This window comes from Homo sapiens, chromosome 19, assembly GCF_000001405.40.
Source record: "Homo sapiens chromosome 19, GRCh38.p14 Primary Assembly".
Lineage (NCBI taxonomy): Eukaryota > Metazoa > Chordata > Mammalia > Primates > Hominidae > Homo > Homo sapiens.
Window position 1 is genome coordinate 13,082,883 of NC_000019.10, and position 21,438 is coordinate 13,104,320.

The 21,438-nt window shown below is 58.8% G+C and overlaps 2 protein-coding genes across 15 annotated transcripts in view, besides 8 other annotated features; one reads left to right on the forward strand and one right to left on the reverse strand.

Moving 5' to 3' along the window:
• NFIX (nuclear factor I X) overlaps positions 1–15,914 on the forward strand; it is a 103,322-nt gene extending 87,408 nt beyond the window's left edge. For 6 of the 14 annotated variants that reach the window (NM_002501.4, NM_001365982.2, NM_001271044.3 and 3 more), the window contains 2 exons: positions 7,417–7,508; positions 11,753–15,905. In NM_002501.4, coding sequence (NP_002492.2) covers positions 7,417–7,488 — 72 coding nt within the window. In that variant the 3' untranslated portion in view covers positions 7,489–7,508; positions 11,753–15,905. Of the gene's footprint in view, positions 1–5,106; positions 5,255–7,416; positions 7,509–11,752 lie in introns of those variants that run through there. The other 8 variants (NM_001365902.3, NM_001378404.1, NM_001378405.1 and 5 more) reach the window with 3 other exon arrangements.
• Positions 12,636–12,725: a silencer, noted in NCBI's record as "silent region_10189". NCBI's record gives its function as "represses an Ori minimal core promoter by ATAC-STARR-seq in GM12878 lymphoblastoid cells {active_cell/tissue: GM12878}" and the evidence as "EXISTENCE:reporter gene assay evidence [ECO:0000049][PMID:35858748]".
• Positions 13,037–13,900: an enhancer, noted in NCBI's record as "H3K27ac-H3K4me1 hESC enhancer chr19:13206733-13207596 (GRCh37/hg19 assembly coordinates)". NCBI's record gives its function as "activates a minimal SCP1, AML or CMV promoter by ChIP-STARR-seq in primed H9 embryonic stem cells {active_cell/tissue: H9 hESC(primed)}" and the evidence as "EXISTENCE:reporter gene assay evidence [ECO:0000049][PMID:30033119]".
• Positions 15,146–15,285: an enhancer, noted in NCBI's record as "active region_14104". NCBI's record gives its function as "activates an Ori minimal core promoter by ATAC-STARR-seq in GM12878 lymphoblastoid cells {active_cell/tissue: GM12878}" and the evidence as "EXISTENCE:reporter gene assay evidence [ECO:0000049][PMID:35858748]".
• On the reverse strand, positions 16,151–19,976 carry LYL1 (LYL1 basic helix-loop-helix family member). The gene is made up of 4 exons (NM_005583.5): positions 19,649–19,976; positions 17,955–18,313; positions 17,775–17,866; positions 16,151–16,852 (listed from the first exon to the last, which is right to left on the reverse strand). The coding sequence occupies exons 2-4, from the start codon at positions 18,287–18,289 to the stop codon at positions 16,437–16,439; spliced, it is 843 nt and encodes a 280-aa protein (NP_005574.2). The 5' UTR covers positions 18,290–18,313; positions 19,649–19,976; the 3' UTR covers positions 16,151–16,436.
• Positions 16,493–17,356: an enhancer, noted in NCBI's record as "H3K4me1 hESC enhancer chr19:13210189-13211052 (GRCh37/hg19 assembly coordinates)". NCBI's record gives its function as "activates a minimal SCP1, AML or CMV promoter by ChIP-STARR-seq in primed H9 embryonic stem cells {active_cell/tissue: H9 hESC(primed)}" and the evidence as "EXISTENCE:reporter gene assay evidence [ECO:0000049][PMID:30033119]".
• Positions 17,026–17,135: an enhancer, noted in NCBI's record as "active region_14105". NCBI's record gives its function as "activates an Ori minimal core promoter by ATAC-STARR-seq in GM12878 lymphoblastoid cells {active_cell/tissue: GM12878}" and the evidence as "EXISTENCE:reporter gene assay evidence [ECO:0000049][PMID:35858748]".
• Positions 17,416–17,475: an enhancer, noted in NCBI's record as "active region_14106". NCBI's record gives its function as "activates an Ori minimal core promoter by ATAC-STARR-seq in GM12878 lymphoblastoid cells {active_cell/tissue: GM12878}" and the evidence as "EXISTENCE:reporter gene assay evidence [ECO:0000049][PMID:35858748]".
• Positions 19,729–20,649: a transcriptional cis regulatory region, noted in NCBI's record as "promoter|chr19:13213425-13214345 region (GRCh37/hg19 assembly coordinates) targeted for CRISPR interference". NCBI's record gives its function as "negatively regulates CALR, DNASE2 and KLF1 gene expression in K562 cells {active_cell/tissue: K562}" and the evidence as "EXISTENCE:mutant phenotype evidence [ECO:0000015][PMID:31784727]".
• Positions 19,749–20,358: a silencer, noted in NCBI's record as "silent region_10190". NCBI's record gives its function as "represses an Ori minimal core promoter by ATAC-STARR-seq in GM12878 lymphoblastoid cells {active_cell/tissue: GM12878}" and the evidence as "EXISTENCE:reporter gene assay evidence [ECO:0000049][PMID:35858748]".

Here is a 21,438-nt window from a genome sequence, read left to right on the forward strand (position 1 = left end):
AGGCTGCCTGCTGCCACCAGCCCCGTGCTGCCTTGGTGTGCTCTGGCAGAGCGAGCATTTGCTAAGTGCTGGTGTATTGATTTGCGGCGGGGCCGTGGCTCCGCCTCCTCACTCTGTCCCTAAGGGAAGCCAGTCCTCTTCCCTCCCTCCTGTTCCCCTCCTGCTCCTTTCCTCCTCGTCTCCCTTCTCCCTTTGCCCATCGAGGGTTTCTCTTGGCTGACTCTGCAGCTCCTTAGCATACTGGTAGCTTCGCCCACCTCTCTCTGGACAAGCTCTGTCCACTTTTAGGGCCATGGAGGGAAGAGCAGACCTGACCTCTGACAGCTGCTGTGCTTGCATCAGAGATGCCAGCAGAGTTCACGGGGAGCTACCAGCCTATGCCCAGCCCCCAAGGGGCCTGGGGTCTGGGATATGCCGCAGAGAGGCCTGGAACATTACCTTACCTGCTTTCTTAACTACCGAGGCAGCCAGGATTTGGAGTCAAATTCAGGCTGGCCTAGAGACCGGCCAAGGTTAGGCCAAGGAGCCAAACCTAACCACAGAACCCTTGAGAAAGTGGGTCATTTAGTCCCCTGGCCATTCTGAGCCTCTGGTCCTGAGGGCTGGGTCCTGAGCCTCTCCCTTGACTTGACTGTTCAAGATTGAGGACTCTGATATAGAGCCATAGTTTTTAAAAAAACGACAGAGGACTCATTTTGCCTAGAAGCTTCTCTTCCTGAGGCAGGCACTTGCTCCAAGCAGACCATGGACAAAACACCGCAAACAGGCACCTTGATTAAGCAAGGAGTGTGGCCCAGCTGGGGAGCAACTTCTGAGTTTCCTTGTGTGGCCTGTGTGGCCTGTTGTACTGAAGAGAGGGAGAGGGGGCTCAGCGGGGAGCCTGCTTGATGGAGCCCACGCCCGGCTTCTGGGAGGAGGCTAGAGACAGCACTGTGCTACACAAGAGGCTGATGCATAGCTGCAGAGAGCCAGAGGGCCCGGCTCCGCCACTGATCCAGTGGGTAGGGAGTGGCAGCGCCCAGCTGTGCTTGCACTACAGCCACTGTTAAGCAGTGCTTCTCAGACTTGGCATGCGCGAGAGTCAACTAGAGCCCTGGCTAACACACAGATGGCTGTGCCTCACCCCCAGAGCATCTGATGCAGCAGGTCTGGGGTGGGGACTAAGAATTAGCATTTTTCCCAACTTTCTAGGTGATGCTGATGCTGTTTCTAACCTCCTTGAGAATCAGAAGTCACAGATCAGTTTTGCAGGAAAATGTCTGCATAGAAGAATTTTAGGCTGGGCGTGGTGGCTCACACCTGTAATCCTAGCACTTTGGGAGGCTGAGGCAGGCAGATGATTGCCTGAGCTCAGGAGTTCGAGACCAGCCTGGGCAACACGGTAAAACCCCTCTCTACTAAAATACAAAAAATTAGCTGGACGTGGTGGCGTGTGCCTGTAGTCCCAGCTACTTGGGAGGCTGAGGCAGAAGAATCGCTTGAACCCGGGAGGCAGAGGTTGCAGTGAGCCAAGATTGCGCCACTGCACTCCAGTCTGGGCGACAGAGTGAGACTCTGTGTACAAAACAAAAACAAAAACAAAAAAAACCCAGAATTTTATAGACAATTGCAGAAGGGTTCCCAGGGCACACCTATAGCCATGGCCTTGGACCCTAGGGTAATAACAGCCAAGGCCATGTGGAGACACTATGCAGAGGAGATGCAAAGGGCAGTTAAGAGGATGCCTGGTTAGCTGTGTTTCAGGGAGAAGGAAGAGACTGCCAAGTGAACATGATGGAGAAATCACAGGGCCCAATGGGAGAGCATGACTCCGGGAGGCAGGATGCCTGGTCCTGGCTCAGTCTTACCATCATTGTCTGAACAGCCAGGCCCACGTGTTTATCTGTAAGGTGAAAGTGAGGAGCTGGTCGGGCGCGGTGGCTTATACCTGTAATCCCAGCACTTTGGGAGGCTGAGGTGGGCGGATCATCTGAGGTTGGGAGTTCGAGACCAGCCTGACCAACATGGAGAAACCCCGTCTCTACTAAAAATACAAAAATTAGCCGGGCATGATGGTGGGTGCCTGTAATCCCAGCTACTTGGGAGGCTGAGGCAGGAGAATCGCTTGAACCCGGGAGGCGGAGGTTGCAGTGAGCCGAGATTGCGCCACTGCACTCCAGCCTGGGCGACAGAGTGAGACTCCATCTCAAAAAAAAAAAAAAAAAAAAAATTGAGGAGCTATACCACCTTCCAGGCTCCTTCTAGCTCCTAACTCCTGAGGTTTTAAGGCACTGCACAGTCACAAGACCTTGAGGTTTTTAAAACCTCAACTGTACCCCAGTCAGAGCTGAGACATGCCAGCCTGGTTGGAAGTTACATCTAGAAACTGAATGTTGTAAATCAGCAGGTTTCAATGTCTGGCCATATCAGGCGGGGATTAGCATTATTGGGTGGGATTAACGATTTAGATACTCCTCGGGGAGACAGGCTCTGAAGCTGGAGGAAGGCAGAGGCCGTCCTGTGGTTGCTTGGAAGGCCTCTGTGTCCCAGTCCCCTGGGAGCCTGAGCTCGGGACACCTGGAGAGGAGGAGTGAGGCTGTGATCAGACCGTCCCATTCCCTCCTTCTAGGCAGGCATGGAGATGAGGGGAGGCGTCGCATCACCTTTCTCTGCAGCGCTGCAAACCCCCACGCTCTGACCTGCACTGTTACCTGGAACTGAGGGTCCCTTTCCAAAACACCTGCACAAAAGTTCTCCAGCCCTTGACACATATGGGGACCAGCAGCCACTGTTTGCTTTTGTCAAGGGCCACTGAGAGTTGTCACCCTTGGAGTGGGCAGGAATGGGTCAAAGGAACCATTTAGAGGGACAGTGTGTCAGACCTAGATGCTGGTCATCGTGGTAAAAAAACAGTGGGCAGAGAAGCCAGAGTTCAGAAGGGCGTGGCTGCACAGGCCAGCCTGGGCTTCCGTGACTTTAAAGTGCAGCAGGAAGGACAAGTCGATCCCACGTGCTTAGTGGTACTTGAGTGCTGCATGCTTCTGCCGACTTGTTGGGGAGCTGGCAGGGATGGGGGAGTGGCCTGTTTTGAAGGTTCCAGTGAGATCAAGAATGTCCTAGAGAAACAGGGCAGAGAAAGATAGGTTGTGATTCAGGGGATCTGGCTGGTCCCCACAGAGGGGACAGCGTTTTTTGAGCAGGTCTTGAAGGGTGTGGGAAATAGTCTTTCATACAGAGAGCTTCGCAGCAAGCCAGCGTGCAGTCCTGCCTGCTCGGCCTGTGTTCCGGAAACCCCAGTCAGTTTGGAATGGGAAGTGCAGAGGGGCGGTAGGGGCTGGACCAGTAGAGGCATCCGTGGGGGCCTTGAATGCCCAACTGAGGAGATTGGACTTCATGTTGGGTATAGCTGGGGCCGTGGAAGGTTTCAGAGGACTGGAGAAACCTGAGCTGATGTGGATTTGGGGGAGAGGATTGATGAGCCTGGTGGAAAGAATCCTAGCATCCCTGGAGTAGTCAGGCAGACATGGCTGTGAATTCCAGGTCTGGCCAGTTGCAGCTGGGTGACTTAGGATAAACCATTTAATGGCCCAGAGCCTCAGTTTCCTCAGTTGTGAAATAAAGAGAATAGAGCTTCCTTTGTGGCAAGGCTTCCCAGGGCAGGCCTGTTAATGCTTGGACTGATGATCCTTTGTTGTTGGGGCTGTCCTGTGCACCGCAGGATGTCGAGGAGCATCCTGGCCTCCACCCAGCCCCTCCAGCCTCTTTGTTGTGACAACTGAAAGTGTCTCCAGACATTGCCAGTGTCTCCTTGAGGGGGACAGAATTACCCCTGGGTGAGAACTGATGCTTTCTGGGGTGGGTCAGGGGTTACACAACAGAACTAAAGCACCTGGTCCAGGGCTGGACACTGAGGGTCCTGAGCTGATAAGCACAGTCTCAGCACAGGGGAGCCCCATACACCAGCTCATTGTCATCGTCCAGCTGAAATCTGTGAGGACAGAACGAGGCACTGGCTGGAGACATCAAGGGGATGGGCTCCTCAGGGCTTGCTCACCGATAGGAGGAGGAGCACACAGCATCCTCTCTGGGTCTCGCATCCGGGTGCCCGGAAGGGCGGAACTCTATCCCACAGGAGAGGTGCTGGTTTAGGATGAAGAGCGCAGGCCAGGCCTTCCTGAGCCCACGCTGCAGTGGTCATCAGGGTCCTGTTCAGAGCAGCAGGAGGTGTGTGCCCAAACCTCCAGGGAGGTCTCTCCAAGGAACCTGCCTGGGAGAGGCAGGGGCGCCTCTGTCTGTCCTTTGGCACCTGTGTGTCCTGAAGCCAGAAGGCCAACCCACGCAAGGCCATGCACAGGGCCTGGAGGAGAAAATCCAGTTAGAAGCAAATGAGGGCATAAAGGACAAGGAATGCATCCTGGCAGCCGAGCATCCATGGCGTCTGAGGGCGTTGTACAGGGAAGTCCTCCTGAAGAACCTCACGGGCACTAGAGCTGGCAGCGATGGATTTTCTTCCCTGGCCATTCTTGAGAGAACAGGTCAGCACCCTACCACCCACAGGCAGTGAGGACCCAGGCTGCTGGAGCCGAGGACGAGCTCCCCAACTTCTGGTGGCCTCCTGAGGACATGTTGTGGGGTGGGTGCTGGCAGGCCTGCCGTCCTTGGTTAGGTGAACCAGCTCAGCCCGACAGCCCTCAGAGGGAGGCAGGCATGTGCTTTGGGGAGCCGGGGGAGCAGGGTGAGCGCGCTCATCTTTCCTGCTGTAGGAGATGGTCTTCAGGAGTGTGAGAGTTCTAGGTACAGCTGCACGTATTTGCTAGGTGGCACATTTTGGTACCTAAAACATTTTCCCTAAGAAGTAACAAACCACCCGTCGAACACCCCCTCCCTCCCTCCCACAACTTCAAAAGAGGACCAAAAAAAAAAAAAAAAAAAAAAAAGAGAAACACCTGAGAGACCAAATAGAGGCCTTACACCCTCACCCATCCTGTGCCCTGGAGGAGAGGACCCAATCCTGGATCTTCCACCGGGAGCGCCCGCTCTCAGGAGCGAGCTGGCGCGGCCGCGCAGGGGAGCGTGTGTCTGTGTGTGATGTGCCTTCATGCGTCACTCTATTTATGTTGTTCGCAGCCCAACGGTAGCGGCCAGGGCAAAGTCCCGGGGTCATTTTTGCTACCGCCGCCGCCTCCAGTGGCCAGACCTGTGCCCCTTCCTATGCCTGATTCCAAATCCACCAGCACTGCCCCAGACGGCGCCGCCTTGACTCCTCCATCACCTTGTAAGTGGACGATGAAACCGAAACCACAACGCCCAGCGTCCCCGGCCCGTCCAAACAGTCTCCACTGCAAAAAGAAAAGCCTTCCCCCTCCCCACCACCAAAGCCCCCCAACCCAGAGCACCATGGACAAGAGCAGAGCCGAGCCCCCCAACCACAGCCTCCCTCCCGGGCCTCAGTCGCACCAGCCAGCACCCCACGAGCCCCCTGCCCGCTGCTCCCAGCCGGGGCCCCTGGCCCAGGCCCCTCTGGGGGGCGGGAGGGAGAGCACAGCTGGGGCGCGCAGGCCAGGGGTGCTGGCGGGGGTGGGAGGGGGCGGGGAGGCACAGCCATGCCATCTTCATGCCTGATTGCTGTTTTTTTTTTTTTGTTTTTTGTTTTTGTTTTTTAATTTTTTTGTTGTTTCGTTGTTCCCCCCACACCAAGAAAATCAAATGTAACCACAAGGCGACGCCACCACCATCCCCTTTTTGCCTTGCCCCTCACCTCCATCCCTGGGCCCTTGGGCCTCAAAGACGCAGCAGGCCAGCCCGACCCCTTCCCCCTCAGTCTCACATTTGGTTTCTCGTTGTTCCTCTTTTTTTTTCCCCCCCTTCCATCCCTCTCCCGTCCCTTCTCCGCAATTCCTTTCCCAGGTTAGATGTTCCAAGGACGAGGGAGGGCTGTGGGCTTTGGCTTACTTCATCTCTCTCTCTGTCTCTCTTTCTTTTCTTTTCTTTTCTTTTTTTTTCCTCTTAAACCAATGACAAATTTTGTCAAAGGGAAAAGAAGAAAAATCATTCGAGAGGTCCCAGGTAGACCCGGCGTGAAGGACAGGAGGATGGGGCGGGTGCTGTCTGTGGGCCAGGGTGGGCAGCTCTGGGGGTGGGCAGGCCACAGGCCAGGGCAGTTCGGTGGCGGTGGGAGGGGTGGCCCATCTCACACTGCTCTCCGCTCGCTTTGTCTCTCCTCCTTTCTCGTGGTTTGAGTTCTTTTCCCCTCTCCATCCTCTTCATGCCATCTTCCCATCTGCATCCACCATAAGACATGAAGTCACAGTCATTGGAGGTGGGCAGGGTGGGGGATGGGAGCTGGGCTACAGGGTTCGGGGGCCACTTCTGGAGAGAGGTGGGCAGAATCTGGTGAGCATGGAGTCCCTGGGTGTGTCTGGTGCAGGGCAGCGGCGGGCCTTCCAGGTAACCTGTGACACTCCTTGCCTCCTCTGGGGGCATCTTCCCTTCTGGGGGTGCAGGGCCTGTTCCCTCCAGCAGGGCTCCATCTGGACAACCTGAGAGGAACTCAGGGCTGTTGAGATCATTTTGTCTTTGGGCCCCAGGATGGCTGCTCCCAGGCATCTGAGCCCTAGGGCTCTGCCAGGCTCTCCAGCCTCCTCCTCCTCTATTGCCTTGGTCCTGGAACCACAGGCCTGTTGGACCTGGTGCATCAGTCAGAGGAGGAGAATGCCATAGGCCTGAGCCTTGCCACCCCCTGGGCCCAAGCCAGGCAGCCAGCTCCTAGGCCCTTCTCTGACCCTGCCCTACCTGGCTCAGACCTCCATTGGGCACCCTTTGGGTTCCCCAAGCCTGCCTGCCTGGTCCTTGGGCCTGCCCAGAGTGGTAAGAGGTGTAGCATCTAGCTAGGCCACCCAGGTTGGAGAGGTAGCCTGGCTGGGAAGGCCTTCCCGAAGCAGGGTGGGGCCGGACTGCCAAAGCCTCCACCCTCCCCTGGCCCCCTCTCTTCAGTACCTGAGAGGGGCCAGTGGGAAAGCAGGGTTATCCACTGAGGGTACCTGGGGACCAGGGCTATCCCCAGCCCTGCCCAGTGCCTCACTAGCGGGTGGAACTGGGTCCAGGAGACTTGTCTCAGCCTCCAGGGCCTCTCCCTCATCCCAGCTGTGAAAAAGGATGCCTGGCTGAGACTGTGGCTTCTGAGTGGGTGTGTGTCGGGGGTGTAGTGTGTGTTCCTGGTCAGTGAGAGGATGAGGGTGTCCCTCTGTAGTGGGGGGCAGGCTCGGAGCCTGGCCTTCAGCTCAGATGCCCCTCTGGCCCATCCTTCCCACTGCCAGCCTAAACTCGGGCAGCATGGTCTAACTCAGTCTCTCCCTCTCTCAGCAGCCCCGAGGGGCAGTGCCCAGGTGGGCCCCAAGGCCTGACAGGGTCTCTCCCTCTCTCCCCTGCTCCCCACAGCATTCGCAACGACAGGCGCCTCCTCTGCCAACCGGTTTGTCAGCATCGGACCCCGGGACGGCAACTTTCTGAACATCCCACAGCAGTCTCAGGTAGGAGACCCTGCCCACCACCTGGATGCAGGGACCAGGGGAGTAGTCAGGGTTGGGGGGCATCTTGGTGTTAGGGAAGAGCCTGGAGTCCTTGGGGCTAACAGGGAGAGAGAGGTCTGAGGTGGGGCTGGAGGGCCCAGGCTTTTGCACGCCCAGCTGAGCCTGTCTCCCCAGGCAGCCCCCAGGCTCCCTGGCTAATCAGCTAATTGGATAATTAGCTCTGACAGCCCTGGCCCTGGGGAAGGCGGCCAAGGACCCAAGTCTAGAGGCCCTCTGGGCCAGGCCTGGTAGAAGCAAAGATGGAAGCCTGAGGCCCATCGGGAGGAGAATAGAGTCTGCCTCACTGCTTTCACCTGCCCCGACTGGAAGCCCCGGCCCCTAGCCCTCCCCTTTCCCCTGGCGTTGGGTGGGCTGGGTGACGGGTGGAGGAGGGACAGAGGGCCTGGTGGGCTGCGTGCCCAGAACTGGCACTGAGGGCAGGGCAGGGCAGGCCGCCACCCTAGAGGCCCCTCACCCAAGTCTCCAGGAGTCCTGTTAGGGAGAAGGCCAGCATGCTGGAGACCTCATCCTTGCTCCTATCCCCTGCTGACACCACCCTTAGTTCTCACCAGGAGACAGATCCCCGTCACAAGCAGGGCATAAGACTACTCTTAGCCCTCCAGGTGGAGACCCCAGAGGCCAGTGCCCACAGAGCCCAGTGCCCTTGGGGGCACAGGGAAGACCCATCTCAGGAGGAGGACAGAGGCAGCTTTAGGGGGCCTGAGGCTTTTACCACCCAGGGTTTTGAAAAAGAACATGCAAAGATCTTTCTTTTGCACATTTTACAAAAACACCACCTTGGAGGTGTCCTCAGCCCGGGGAAATCCACCTCTCTCAAGAGCCCCTGGGGCCACCTCTCATCTCCTGCTCTGCCTCTGTTCTGGGGCCTGAGTCCAGAGAAAGTTGGTGGATGGAAGTTGTGTGTGTGGTTTGAGATTGTTTTTTTTTTTTTCTTTTCCTTTCCTTCCCTCAAAAAAAAAAAAAAAAAAAAGCCAAAAAACTTTGTCAAACTTCAAACTTCAGAGCTCCCTAGTGGCAAGGAGGGGAGGGGAAGAGAACTTCAACCCCCTCCAGCTTCCCACCCCCTTTCCCCAGAGTCACGTCTGACCCGTCTGGTTTCCAGGAGCAACCAGACATGATGTAACACCCAGATGAACTTGAACTTGGGGGTGCTGAGAAGAAAAACAATGGCTCCGAGCAGGGGCTGGAGCCAGCCCCCTCTGCTCTGTGCCAGGGAGGCCGAGAGAGCCCTGCTGGCAGAGGCGGGAGGGGGTGCGAGAGGAAGGGACAGCAGGCGGGCCTCCCCTCCCAGCTCTGGGCTGGCACCAGGCTTCAGGGTTCCATCGCTCCCTCCCTCCTGCTGCCTGCCTGGGCTGCTCACAGCTCTGCGGTCGTGCGCTCCGAGGACCACTGCCACGAGCCGTCCCTGCTAACCCTGTTTCCGCTGCCTCCTTTACTTTCTTTGCTCACTTTGCTTGGACGTTTGGGGGCCAAGTCAGAGTTTAGGGAAAGTTTGTCTCCCCCCATGTTCCCTGTGTCTTAGGCTCCAGGAGGTAGGAGGAAGGAGTCCCAGCGGGGGTCCAGGGCCCCTGAGCAGGCAGGTGTGTCTGGGAGTGGTTGGGGGAGCGGAAGCTGGACAAGCGGAGCTGGAGCCCTCGGGCCTGGGGGCAGGCAGGCGGCTGCAACGGGCGGGCGCAGGGGGTACAGCCGGGGGTGGTTTCCACAGTAACCAGTGACTTTAGCTGATCTCTGGAGCACCAGATGGAGAGAGAACAATAGAATGAGGGAAGAAAAGAGAATTTTAGCAATTTTGTCATTCCCTGGGCAGCGCTTTTTACTTAGTTTTAATCAATTTTGGACCTGGCTCAGGAAGTAGGGAGGGGTGAGCAGAGAAAGCCACTCTGTGCTTGGCAGCAGATCCCCCATTTCTGGGACCTGTGGGGAGGTGCCGGGGAGCCCCCTTGGGGCAGCCTTTGTCCCTAACTCCAGACCTGGAACCAGAGTCTTCCTTCCCTGAGGAGGACCCCCCAGTCTGAGCATTGGCAGTTGTCCCCAACTGTACAGCTCAGGAGACCCCAAAGGGGCCAGTGTGAGGCCCTGGCATGATCTGCCAGGAGCAGATAGGGCAGGTGGGGCCCTCCCTGTCCTATTGTCCACAAGCCTCATTTGCCTGGTGAGGAGAGGGGTGGGCTTACCACCAGAGTCAGCCTCCCCCTCAACCTCGGGGCAATGGCACAGGGTTCCTGTATAGTCTCCCCTTGGGAAGGGGGTCCCAGGGAACAGGCCCAAGCCTGTGGCAGGTGGGGGTCACCCAGCCCAGGCGCTTCCCACCCCCGGGCCTGGGCCAGAAGCCCAGGAGCTGGCTGCGGGCCGGTTCTCCCCCACCCACTCTGGGGATGCCTCAGGCCTGGGTTTCCGCCTTAGCCTCGCCAGGCCCCAATGAGCCTCTGTTTGGCCTGTAGTCAATTGACCGGTTGGACTTGGGGCAGGTGCTCGAGGAGCCCCACTGAGGGAGGGCAGGTCTCTTGTGCGTACTGTCCAGCACATACAGGAAATTTAGCATTTCTGCCCACCCAGCAGCGCCTGCTCATTGTGGCAATCCCAAACCGCCACATTTCCAGATGCTCTTGATCTGCACTGTCCATTGTGGTAGCCACGGGCCACGTGTGGCTGTTTACATTTAAATTATTAACTAAAGAAAAATTTAGTTCCTCAGTTACAGTAGCCACATTTCAAGTGCTTAGAAACCACTTGTGGCTAGTGGCTACTGCAATGGAAATGAGAACATTTCCATTGTCACAGAAAGTGCTAGATGATCTCCAAGGCCCTTTCTGAAACTCAGTGTCCCTATCCTCAGTCCCAAACCAGAGCCTGAGAGCAGGTCTGGCCTGCAGGCAGAATGTTTGACCAAAGCAATGTTTTAAATATTGGAAATTTTCACACGAAATTCTGTTTGGGCTTCTGGCTTCTTTTGAAAAGTTGGCAGATGAGCTGCCCTGGGCCCTCACCCTGACCCTAGGCAGGGCACAGGCATTCTGGCCACCACAGACCCTGCTTCCTCGTGCTCGCAGCACAGGCAGCAGTTAGGAGCACAGCCTGCACTGCCCCTTACATTTGAACCCTGGCTCTGTTGCCCGAGGGCTGTGTGGCCTCAGGCAGGTCACGTACCCCCTCTGTGCCTAGCTTCCTGGTGGGGTCAGGGCAGGGGTGGAGTGAACCAGGACCTGGTATGTGCTCTGTAGTTGGCTCCGCCTGGCCCCTGCAGACCAGAGTCTGTGACAGCCTGGGAGAGGTCCCAAGATGCATTTTCAGGGACCCTCATTTTGCCCCAACGGTACTACCAGGTGCACCCAGGCCCAGTAGACCACAGTAGACCCTGACCCACCACTTTGCCAGGAGGTGGGGCTGGAGCCTTGGATGGAGGGCGTAGCCAAGCAGCCCAGACCCTTGGGGTCTGCCCTGGGTGTGCTCTGAGCTGAGCCACCAGACACAGGCAGACAAGACAAGGCCCTGTCTGTGGGAAGGCAGCGCCCCCTGCTGGCGATATGAAGGAAATGACGCTCACCCCAGGGAGCCTCAAGTCCTTCCTCAATGTCTGGTGCCCTGAGGGTAGAGGATCCAGCACCATGGGCTACGTGGCCCCTCCCCCAGGCCTGGCGCTACTAGGGACTGAAGCTGTGTGGTTCCCCTGCCCCCAGTCTTTCAGCCTGTGGGACCTTGGCTGGGGTATATAGATGGGAATTTCTGCTTTTAATCCAAAGAGACAGAAAGAAAACTCAGCAAGAAGCTGGGCCACCCCCAACCCATTCCTAAAACCCCTCTGGGTACAAAAGCCCCAGCCTGGCATCTTCCCCACCCTCCAGGACCCACACAAAAACCTAAACAATTGGAAACATGGCCAGATCTCAGGCCTGTGCCAGCGCCAGCCATGGGGGTCCCACCCGCTGGGCACAGTGCCCACGGGAAGGCCAGCTGGACTCTAGCACTAGGGGCAGAGTCTCTGAGGGGGCGGGGTTCTCGCAGGAGGGAGGGAGAGAATGGGGATGCCCTTTCTTCTCCATGGGAACAAGGTGGGTGGTGGCTGCCCGGCACCCTGGCTCTTTGGGAGCTGGACCCTTGAGGGGCCAGGTCACTGGGCCAGGTAGGAGTGAGATGGGACCTGCCCCAGCTGTTCTCAGTATCGCCTCTTTTTCATCCTGTTTCAGTCCTGGTTCCTCTGATAAGATCGACAAAAGAAACAACAAAATGAGAAGAAGAGGTTCCTCGAAAGGGGGGAGAAGAAATTTTGAGAATGGAAAAATCCCCCAGCCCAGCCCAGCCCCACCGAAAAGCAAAAATTACACGTCGTCAGCCACTCAGCCCTTCTCTCCTCCAGCCCGGGGACCCCCGCGGGCCCCAGAAGCAGCCCAGTTCTCAGAGAGCCCTTGGAAGGGGTCTCGGTGGAGCTGTGCACCAGCAGCCAAGCAGAAAGAAACACGCGACATGGACTCTGTCAAGTAGAGGACAGAAAGCAAGAAAGGATGCAGAACTGCCTTCCTCCCCCTGACCCCGCCCCGGCCTTCTGGGGAAGGAACAAAGTCCCCAAACAAAGCAACCAGCACAATTCTGAAGGGGCCTGGCCTCCACCCTCACCCCTTCCTAGGGGAACCCCACCCTCCACACAGCCGGAGCTGCCCTAGGGAGCCTGGAGGGCCAGCTTGTAAAGATGATGGGGTTTAGATCCCTCAGGCTCTCCCCTCCAGACTCCGCCCTTCCCTCCCTCCCTCCCTCCCTCCCTCTCTGCCAAGGCTCCAGCTTCTTCCCCCAGCTGCTCCCGACCAGGAGGGGGAGAGCAGCCTCCACTTACCCCACCCCACCCTTGGGCTAAAAGCCCCCAGGCGGGCAGGGGGTGACCCCTGGAGCTAGTTGCGTGTCCCAGAATGGAGGGTGTTCTGACACCCCACCCTGAGCCGCAAGAGCAGTCCTGGGGCCCTGGACCCCTCTGTACAGTCCGTAGGAAAAAGTCGGAATGCTCTCGACGGCCTCGTCCCAGCCTGGGACAGGCCCCCTTTCCCCTCTCTCTGCAGGCCAGGAGGGCCTCCTTCCTGCCACGAGGGAGGGGAGTCGGGCCCCAGGTCGCCCCCGCCCCCAGCCCTGCATGCAGGTGCCCTCGCTCCGCCCCATCAGTTCCTGCCCCTGCCCCTCATGCAGACTGCCCTGCTGGGGCCGGGCCGGAGGGTGGAGCAGAAAGGGGACCCCGGAGCCGAGCGAGGAGGACCAGGCAGCCGCCGCTGCCGCGCTAAGCCACCACCTGCGCTTAGGTAGGCGTCCTGCTCGCCGACTTTCAGTTCCTTGGGAGGGTGTTGGGTGTCGTCCTTTTCAAAAGTGTTTTGGAGCTTTCTGTGCCCCCCGACTTTCCCCCGCCTCCCCGCCCCCCACGTGGCCACTTTTCTCTGGATTTTAGCTGTAATGTCTTTACTCTTTATTTAGGGGTGGGGCATTCATTGTTTGGGTCTTTTGCTGTTGGAATGGGAACTCCTCCTCCATTTGAGCAACTTGGGAACAATTTGGTAACACACCACAGGAAGTAGCTCTCCCCCCCAGCCCCCTCCTCCCTCAAGGGAGGGTTGGGGGGCCTGTCCAGAGGGTCTTCAGAAGCCCCCCTGGGAGGGAGGGGAGGATGAGCACGCCCAGCTCCCCTCCAGGGTGTGACTTGGCCCCTCTGGCTTGTCTTTCTGTGCCTTACTCCTCCTCCTGCGTCTCCCGTTCCTGGCCCCTTCTTGAGTCCTTGTGCCTCTCTCTTTCTCTCTCTTTCTTAATTGTATGAAAACACAAAGCACAGGTCAGGATCCTCTGAGAGAAAATCAACATTGCACCACGTAGGGGTGGGCTATGGGCTGTATTTATTGTGAATCTAGTTTGTGAGGCTGTGGCCCCGAGCTGGCGGAGGGAGGGAAGAGGAGGGAGTGACGGGAGGGGAGGAGGTCAGCGACCTGGGGCCGTAGCGGCAGGCGAACGGTGCCTGCTACCCAGCTGGAAGCCACAAGGTGGCTGGCTCCAGGGGCGGCTTTTGTTGGAAGTTGAGTGAAGCCCTCCCCCTGTCCTCAGCGTGCAGCCCTAGAGGACCCCAGGGCTGAGGGGCAGTGGATCCTGCGGGAGTCTCCCGGGGCGTGGGGAGTAAGGCCCCGGGGGTGGGGGGCCGGGTGGGCCGGGCGTGACGCGCGGTCAAAGTGCAATGATTTTTCAGTTCGGTTGGCTAAACAGGGTCAGAGCTGAGAGCGAAGCAGAAGGGGCTCCCTGTCCGGCCCACGTGCCCTTTCCCTCGACGACAGTCGAGGGCTCGGGCTCTGTGGGACTGTGGGAGCTAGGGTCTGCGGGGCGCCTGCCCGGGCGAGGTCGGAAGCTGCAGGCCAGCTGGGCCCGGGCCGGAGCGTGCCCGGCGGGGCTGCCCGGGCGGGCAGGGGGTGGGGGCTGCTCCTTTCCCAAGTGGTGTTGTGAGGGGCAATGAGGGCAACAGGAGATGTGGGGACGTGTTAGGAGAGAAAAAAAAAAAAACAAAAATATATATGGGGGAAATTAACTTTTTTTTTTCATTGAACCAAGTGCAATGCATCAGAGAGTTTTCCTATCTTTGTATGTTAAGAGATTAAGAAAAAAAAATTCTATTTTTGTTGTAATGTCCTCGCGGCTCTGGGGACGCTAAAAGAACCGGGCCTGCCCCGCCCTGCGCGGGGATAACGAAAGCTGAGTGTTTTTCCCTTTTTTTTGTTCGTTTTTAGTTTTTTTTTTTTTAAGTCGTTTTCCTGCGTTGACGAGGATGATCTGGGGTTTTTATTTGTTTCGTCGTTCGTTCTGTTTCGGTGGGAGGGCTGAAGGAAACGTTCACATTTTAGAGTTTAAAAAAAACACCTCGACATTTAAAAAATCAACCAACACAAGATCAAAAAGGAAAAGGACGAGAGAAAAATTATTTTTAAGATAATTAAACATAAAACCCTGGTGCTTCTTACATTATAAAGTACGTTTTAAAGAACCCACAAACTATTATACATAAGTTTATGAATCAATTAAATATCCTGCACTTGTTAGGAATACGCATATCCCTTCTTTGTTGAGTTTAACGGAACGGGACAGCGGCGTGCCCCCGGCGGCTGGACTGCTCCGGCCGCGGGTCTCCCCGGGCGCCCCTCCCTGGGGCCCAGCACCCCTCCTCGCCCCATCCCCGTCCGGGTACGGGGGCGCGGCAGGGGTCCCCGGCCCCTCCCCCGCAGAGGTCAATGCCAACGAACAAACGTCCCCTCCCTCCCTCCCTCTCCGCCCCGAGCGCCCTTCTTTGAGCCAGACGCCAACTTGACCCTCACCAGCATTATCAGGAGCGCGCTCAGCAAGTTGGTAGTTTCCTCCCCCCTTTCCCGGCGCCCCTCCCGCCCCCATTCAACATCTCTCATCCTATCCCCGACCCCCTCCGGGGAACACCGGGAAGGCTCGACGCTCCAGGACAGGACCAGCCACGCTGACAGGTCGATTTGCCCAGGCCCGCGCCCGCACGCACGCACGCACACGGCCCCGCACACAGCCCCGCCCCACCCCGCAACCAGCCCTGTCGACTGCCTTATACACCCGCCCCCGCGCTGGCCGGCCGACCTAGTGCCTTGTTCTCACCCCCGTGCTGGCGGAGCGGACGCCGCGCTCTGGGTCCCAGAGGGGCCGGGTGGCTCAGACGACCCACCACTCCCCCACCCTGACCGTGCTGAACAGACCCCCCCACACGAGAGAAAATAAAGGAGCAATAAAGTCACGAGAACTTTCGTCCCCCAATCGAGAGCCCGAGGGGCACCCCAGCCCCGCCTCTGCTCCCCCCCACCCCACCCACCCTCGGGGCGCCCCCCTCCCCCCGCAAGCCAGCCTGGGCCAGCCCCGCTTCGGCCCCTCCCGGGAGATCCGTGCGCCCGACCAGCACCAGCATCGCGGACCGCAAAGGCCGCCCGTCCCGTCAAACAAGTTTCTTCTTAGGCTAAGAAACGCAGTATATACGAGTATCTCTATATATAGTACTAATGGATTTGGTGTGCTTCCCCCTTAGCGTCCCCCTCCCTCTGCTCCTCCTCCTTCAGCCTGGTCTCCCCCTCTTCTCTGCCCTCCACCCCCGTCTCTGCACTGAGATACATAAGAAACAAGGGTAGTTTACTGTCTGTTTTGTTTTCTGGGTTTTCAGTGTCCTAGCGGAATGCAAGTAGGCAGCCAGCCCGTCTGTTCCCTCTCCGCCCCGCCCCGCCCCGCCCCCGTCACTGCGCTTCTGTTATACCATCTTTGCCTGACTCTCTCCGGCTTCTCCATTGAATGGCTAATGTGTATGTGAAATAAAGAAATAAAGAAAAACAAACGCGAGAGCGCCTGACCCTTCGCTAACGCGACCGTGCGGGACTGGGTCGGGGTCGGTAGGGTGCGTCCCCGACTTGGATTCTGCGCCTCTGTCCAAGCGCCGGGAGCGCAGCAGACGCCGTCGACGAGCGTCTGCCCCTGGGTCTCCCGGAGGGGCCGACGGTGAGAAAAGCGAAGCCTCCCCAGCCCCTCCTGGCCTCCCCCCGCGACCCCAGCCCGGAAAAAATGAGGCACCACTTGGGTCCTATGACTGCTCTGCCATGTTGCTTTGCCGACCTCGCCCCTGGGAAGGGGACCGGGCAAGGCCACTTCCAGAGGGTTGTGGGTGATTTTTTTAAGGGTCTGCGGGTCCCTTGGGGGTCGATGATCACCCTTCCGGACCCCCGAGACCTTGCCCCTGACGTCTTCACTGGTCCTTCTTCGGGGGAGTTCGCTCCCGAACATGCGCAGCACGTCCACTGCCCTTTCCTTGACGGCCCTGGGCCGAGTCCCTGGTGCCCTCCGGCTCAGAGGTGCTGCCGCGTGCGGTCACCGCACCTCTGGGCTCAAAGCGGTTTGCTCCATCTTGATGGGCCGGGCCGCTCCACCGGGGCTGCCGTCGGGGTCGGCCGGGGGCGCGGGCTGCGAGCGCGCTGCCGCCTCGGCCCTGCGTCCGGATCCCCGGCGGGCGCCGTCGTCTGGGACCCGGTGCACCGGCCGTTTGCGAGGCCCGGGAGGGGTGGGGCCTGCGGCCAGAGCTGCGGCTTGGTCGCGCAGCAGCCGCACCAGGAAGCCGATGTACTTCATGGCTAGGCGGAGCACCTCGTTCTTGCTCAGCTTCCGGTCGGGCGGGTGCGTCGGCAGCAGCTTCCTCAGCTCGGCGAAGGCGCCGTTAACGTTCTGCTGCCGCCAGCGCTCCCGGCTGTTGGTGAACACGCGCCGGGCCACCTTCTGGGGCTGGTGCCCTGTGGACAAGGAGGGCCGGGTTGGTGCCATGGCCCAAAGGGCGGCCCCTCCTGCCCTCCCGCTAGACACGCAGCACCCTCGTGGGAACTTAAACCCAGGCCATGGGCTGGGGCTTTCTCCACCCAAGGGGTCCACGGGCAGCTCTCCCCACCCCTCCCAAGAGCCATCCAGACAAGAATCATCACAGGCCCGGCCTACGGACAAGGGCCTGCTGTATCTGTGACTATGGGCACCTTTATGTCAATGACTGAGATTCCCTAAAGAAAGATTTCCTTGTGTTTGTTTGGTCTGGGAAGCTGTCCGTGGGGCCCTCATTCTGATTGTGCCCAAGTACGGCTGGCTGGGTGTACTCATGGGTCTGAGAGGTCCTCTCATTATGACTGTCTGTGTCCTGTGTCTTGTATGACTGTGTGAGACTCTTGTTATGTCTCATGGCTGTGGTTATGTGTGATGTTGCCATGTGGCTGTTTCACGAGTGGCTGTGGTTGTGTGGCTGACTCTTGTGTGGCCGTGGTCCTAAGTGGCTGTGGTCCTGTGGCTGTCTTGTGTGTGGTTGTGGTCCTGTGGCTGTCTCTTGCATGGCTGTGGTCTTGTGGCTGTCTTGCGTGGCTGCACATTCCAGTGGAGCTGTCATTTTGTGGCTCCCATGCCCTGGTGTGGCATGCTCTGTTTTGCCGTGACTGCGGCTACATGGCTTGGCCTGTTGGGTGGCGGTGGTTGTGTGGGGCTGGCTATGGGACTGCGATTTTGCACATGGGTAGAACCTATGTGGGCTGTTCTCTGTGTGTGCTGGAAGCACGTCTCCCCGAGGTGGAGTAGAGGACAGACATGAGCCCCACACAGAGACGGCCAGGCCTTCTGTGCACCCACAAGTGCACATACAGGCATACAAACCCACAAGGCACACAAACCCACACTCACCCTCAGCCAGGTCCAGCTCACAGTGGCTTGGTCTCCGCTTCAACCGGCTGCTAGGGAAGATGCTAAAAGGTCCTGCTGGCCCAATGTAGACACTGTAAGGGGTCGTGGGTCACTAATGCCTTGTGGGCAAGGACCCTGGCCCCCAATCCCCACTGCCCCCCACCCCAGATCCCCACTGACCTGTTGAGGAAGGGGTGAGGGTGGTAGTGCAGGGCCAAAGTGGGCGGGGCAGTTCCCAGGGTGGAGAGTTGCAGCAGCGGGGGCCGCAGAGTGCCCAGCTCTGTGGTGGGCATGGCTACCCCTGGGGGCCTGCTGTGGCCCAGGCTGATCACTGGTACACCAGGTGGCAGCCTGGGGGGCGAGGAGCCTCCTCGGTGGCCCACCTCCTCCACCTGCGGGGGCCCAGGCGAGGCAGGCTTAGGGGGTGGGGCAGGCGCTGGGCTGGGGGCACACACCATCTCTGCCTTCTCAGTCATGGTGGGGCCCACCTCTGCCTGTGCCTGAGGCGGGCACATGGACCCCGACGTGGGGGTACTCACCTGTGGGAAAGAAGGCAGCCAGTGGGGAGGAGGACTAGGTGCCCCGCTCCCACCTGCTTAGCTCAAGAAACCCCTCAAATGGGAAGGAGGGAGGGGGAGGGGGAAAGGAGGAGGAGAGAAGTTTCAGTAGGCAAAGGCAGATGGCGGGGGCAGGCCCAGAAACTTCCAGGACACGGGAGGGGGGTCCTACGTTAGAGTAGGAGGCGCCCCCCAGGTGCTAGGCAGCGCACTGTCCCTGAGCTCTTTGTGACCCAGGAGGGGCGCTGTTGCCCAGCCTCTGAGCAAATATTCCTTCTTCCAGAATTCCCTCACCTCTGCAGCCTGGAGAGGGAACAAGACAGGGAGCCCCTAACTGATCCTGGGATCCCCAGAAACCCCAAGATTAACCCTGTTATCCTCAGATCTAAAGATCCAACCCAGAGACTCCTCATTAACTCATTGATGCCATGTGAGCTTGGAATCCCTCCAAGATGGACTCTGACCCTTCACGGAAGGCCCCCAGCCCCCACCCAGGCTGACCCTCTGCACCTCAAGAATGACCCTGCGGTTCTTCCCATTGCTGTCCCTGAAAGTGCTCCATAATTGCTTGAGTGACCCCCACTCCCACTGCAAACATCCCCCATAGCAACCCTGTGACCCCACTACTGACACTATGACCTCAAATGCTGACCCTAGACCCCCAAACACTGACCCCACTGCCCAGTCCAGTCCAGTCATGCCCCAACCCTCCCTCTGGCTTGGAAGCCCCCATCCTCATCAGCATCCACGCTTTTTAAAATTTGTTTATTTTTTTAGAGACAGGGTCTCCCTCTGTTGTCCAGGCTGGAGTGCAGTGGTGCAATCATAGTGCACTGCAGCCTCAAATTCCTGGGCTCGAGCCATCCTCCTGTCTCAGCCTCCTGAGTAGCTGAGAGTACAGGCATGTGCCACCATGCCCGGCTAATTTAAAAAAAAAAATTTTTTTTGTAGAGGCAGGTTCTCACTCTGTTGTCCAGGGTGGTCTGGAACTCCTGGGCTCAAGTGATCCTCCTGCCTCAGCCTCCCAAAGTGCTGGGATTACAGGCATGCACCACAATGCCCCGCGATCATCCACAGTTTTGCATACTGTTTTGACATCCCTGTTTGCTCTTGGTTCCAGAGTCCAGGATGTCCCAGCAAGGTGTGAGACTGTTGGCCCCTCTGCCCTGTCTTCCTCAGCTAGGCCCTGGGGAAGCAGGCCTGGCCCCTCACTAGTGGGTCCCTGCTGGTGAATGAATGAATGAAGGAATGAACAAAGGAATGCAGGCTGGGTCCCAGGCCCGGGATCCTCCACCTTTAGGCCCGCTCCCCTCTTACCCCAGCACTGTTCTTGCAGCCTGGTGAGTGCCCTGGCTCTGTCCCGTCAGGGCTGGCAGTCTGGGCCAGGGTGTGGTTTCCAGCGTCAGGCCAGGCTCTGCTGTCTCGCGAGGGTCCGGCCTCAATGCTCCAGGCCCCGGCGTTGGGCCGCGCCTCCTCGTGGGCCTCGGAAGGCCAGGATAGCCGAGGTCTCCGCGTAGGTCCCCCCCAGGGAAAGTGAGCGGCTCCCGGGCCGGCCCGCCTTCTCCCCGCCCCCGGCGGCCCGGTTTCCTCCCTCTCACCCCTGGCGGCGCAGCGGCCGGAGGATGCTGGCCCAGTGCAGATAAGGGCCAGGCTGCCTGGCCGCGCCTGATAAGGAGCCTGGCTGACCCCGGAGGAAACCAGCGGGCGGGGACCTAGCAGCGCGGGCCTCCCGGCCCCGCCCCCAGCCGGCGCTGGCAGGACTCGGTCCGCCACCCCTCAGGGCTTCGCCTTCCGCTCCCCCAGCCACTGTAGGGACCCCGGGCCTCTGGGGACCCGGGCCCCAGGGCAGCCGGGGAGGGAGGTGCCTGGATGCACGCAGGGGGTAAACTGAGGCAGGGAAGCTGCCTCCTCTTATGTCCGAGTCTGCCCTTTGGCTTTGCACACTCCCTGCCCGAATGTCTGTGCTGATGGGGGTGAGGGAGAGCCCTTTCCGGCCCGTTGGGGCCGCGTGACCCTGGGCCCCCACCTCCTCTCCTCACCCAGCCTGGTTCCTCTTTTTACAGAGGCCCTTCCCTCCTCTCCACCACCCCTACCCGGGAGTGGGGCACCCAAAGGGGAACAGTTCTAACAGTCTGGCCTTGGGTGTCCAGCCTGGGCAGGTGTCCCAAGCCCTCAGCACAGTATCCACACATTTCCAAGCCCAGGAGGGTGAGAGGAAGAGCCATGGCTGTCAGGGGTGGGGTGGGGAAGTTGGATTTCCTAGGGTGCTGGGGCTGGTGTGACCTTCCAGTAGATGCCCAACAGGTCCCCACAACTATAGGCCTCTTGGCTACAGGATCACATAACTCCAACTTGGTGGTCCATGGCCCTCACCCCACAGCACCCGGCCCCTTCATGGGGGGCAGTTATCCTGGCTTGGTGGTAAACCTCAAGACCCTACTGGAGCCTCCCACAGGGAGAGGCTCTGGGCACAGCCAGGCAGCAGCAGCTACCAGACTGCCACCCACTTGTGATACTCATGCTTTGGCCCGTCTGTGTATCTGGGCAACTGCAAGAGCCCCCAGGCAGGCAGGCACCCAGCAGCAGGACTACCAACCCCCCCCCCCCCCCGCCCAGGAATGGGGTGGAGCCCAGGACCCCACGATCAACACCTCCATTGCTTTCCTCCAAAGAAGCAGGAACTAAAGTTTTATGCAGTAAAGGCCGGGCTTGGTGGCTCATGCCTGTCATCCCAGCACTTTGGGAGGCTGAGGCTGGCGGATTGCTTGGGCTCATGAGTTTGAGACCAGCCTGGGAAACATGGCAAAACCCCATCTCTACAAAAAATACAAAAATTAGCTGGTTGTGGTGGTGCGTGCCTGTAGTCCCTGCTACTCTGGAGGCTGAGGTGGGAGGATGGCGTGAGCCTGGGAGGTGGAGGCTGCAGTGAGCCAATATTGCGCCACTGCACTCCAGCCTGGGCCACACACCTAGACCTTGCCTCAAAAAAAAAAAAAAAAAAAAAAAAATTAAGCGCTAACTCTGATATCGCTACAAGGAGGGTCCTAAGATTAGCCTCATTACAGATGGGGATGAAGGGAGCAGGAGCCAGAGAGGGGATCCTGCCC

What these genes read in the sequence shown, in the direction of transcription:
- LYL1 (NM_005583.5), bottom strand. Translation starts at nt 18,289, where the DNA reads ATGTGCCCGCCTCAGGCACAGGCAGAGGTGGGCCCCACCATGACTGAG. An exon ending in CCTCACCCCTTCCTCAACAG is followed by an intron (nt 17,867 to 17,954) that starts GTCAGTGGGGAT and finishes GACCCCTTACAG; the next exon opens with TGTCTACATTGGGCCAGCAG. An exon ending in TGAGCTGGACCTGGCTGAGG is followed by an intron (nt 16,853 to 17,774) that starts GTGAGTGTGGGT and finishes CCTTGTCCACAG; the next exon opens with GGCACCAGCCCCAGAAGGTG.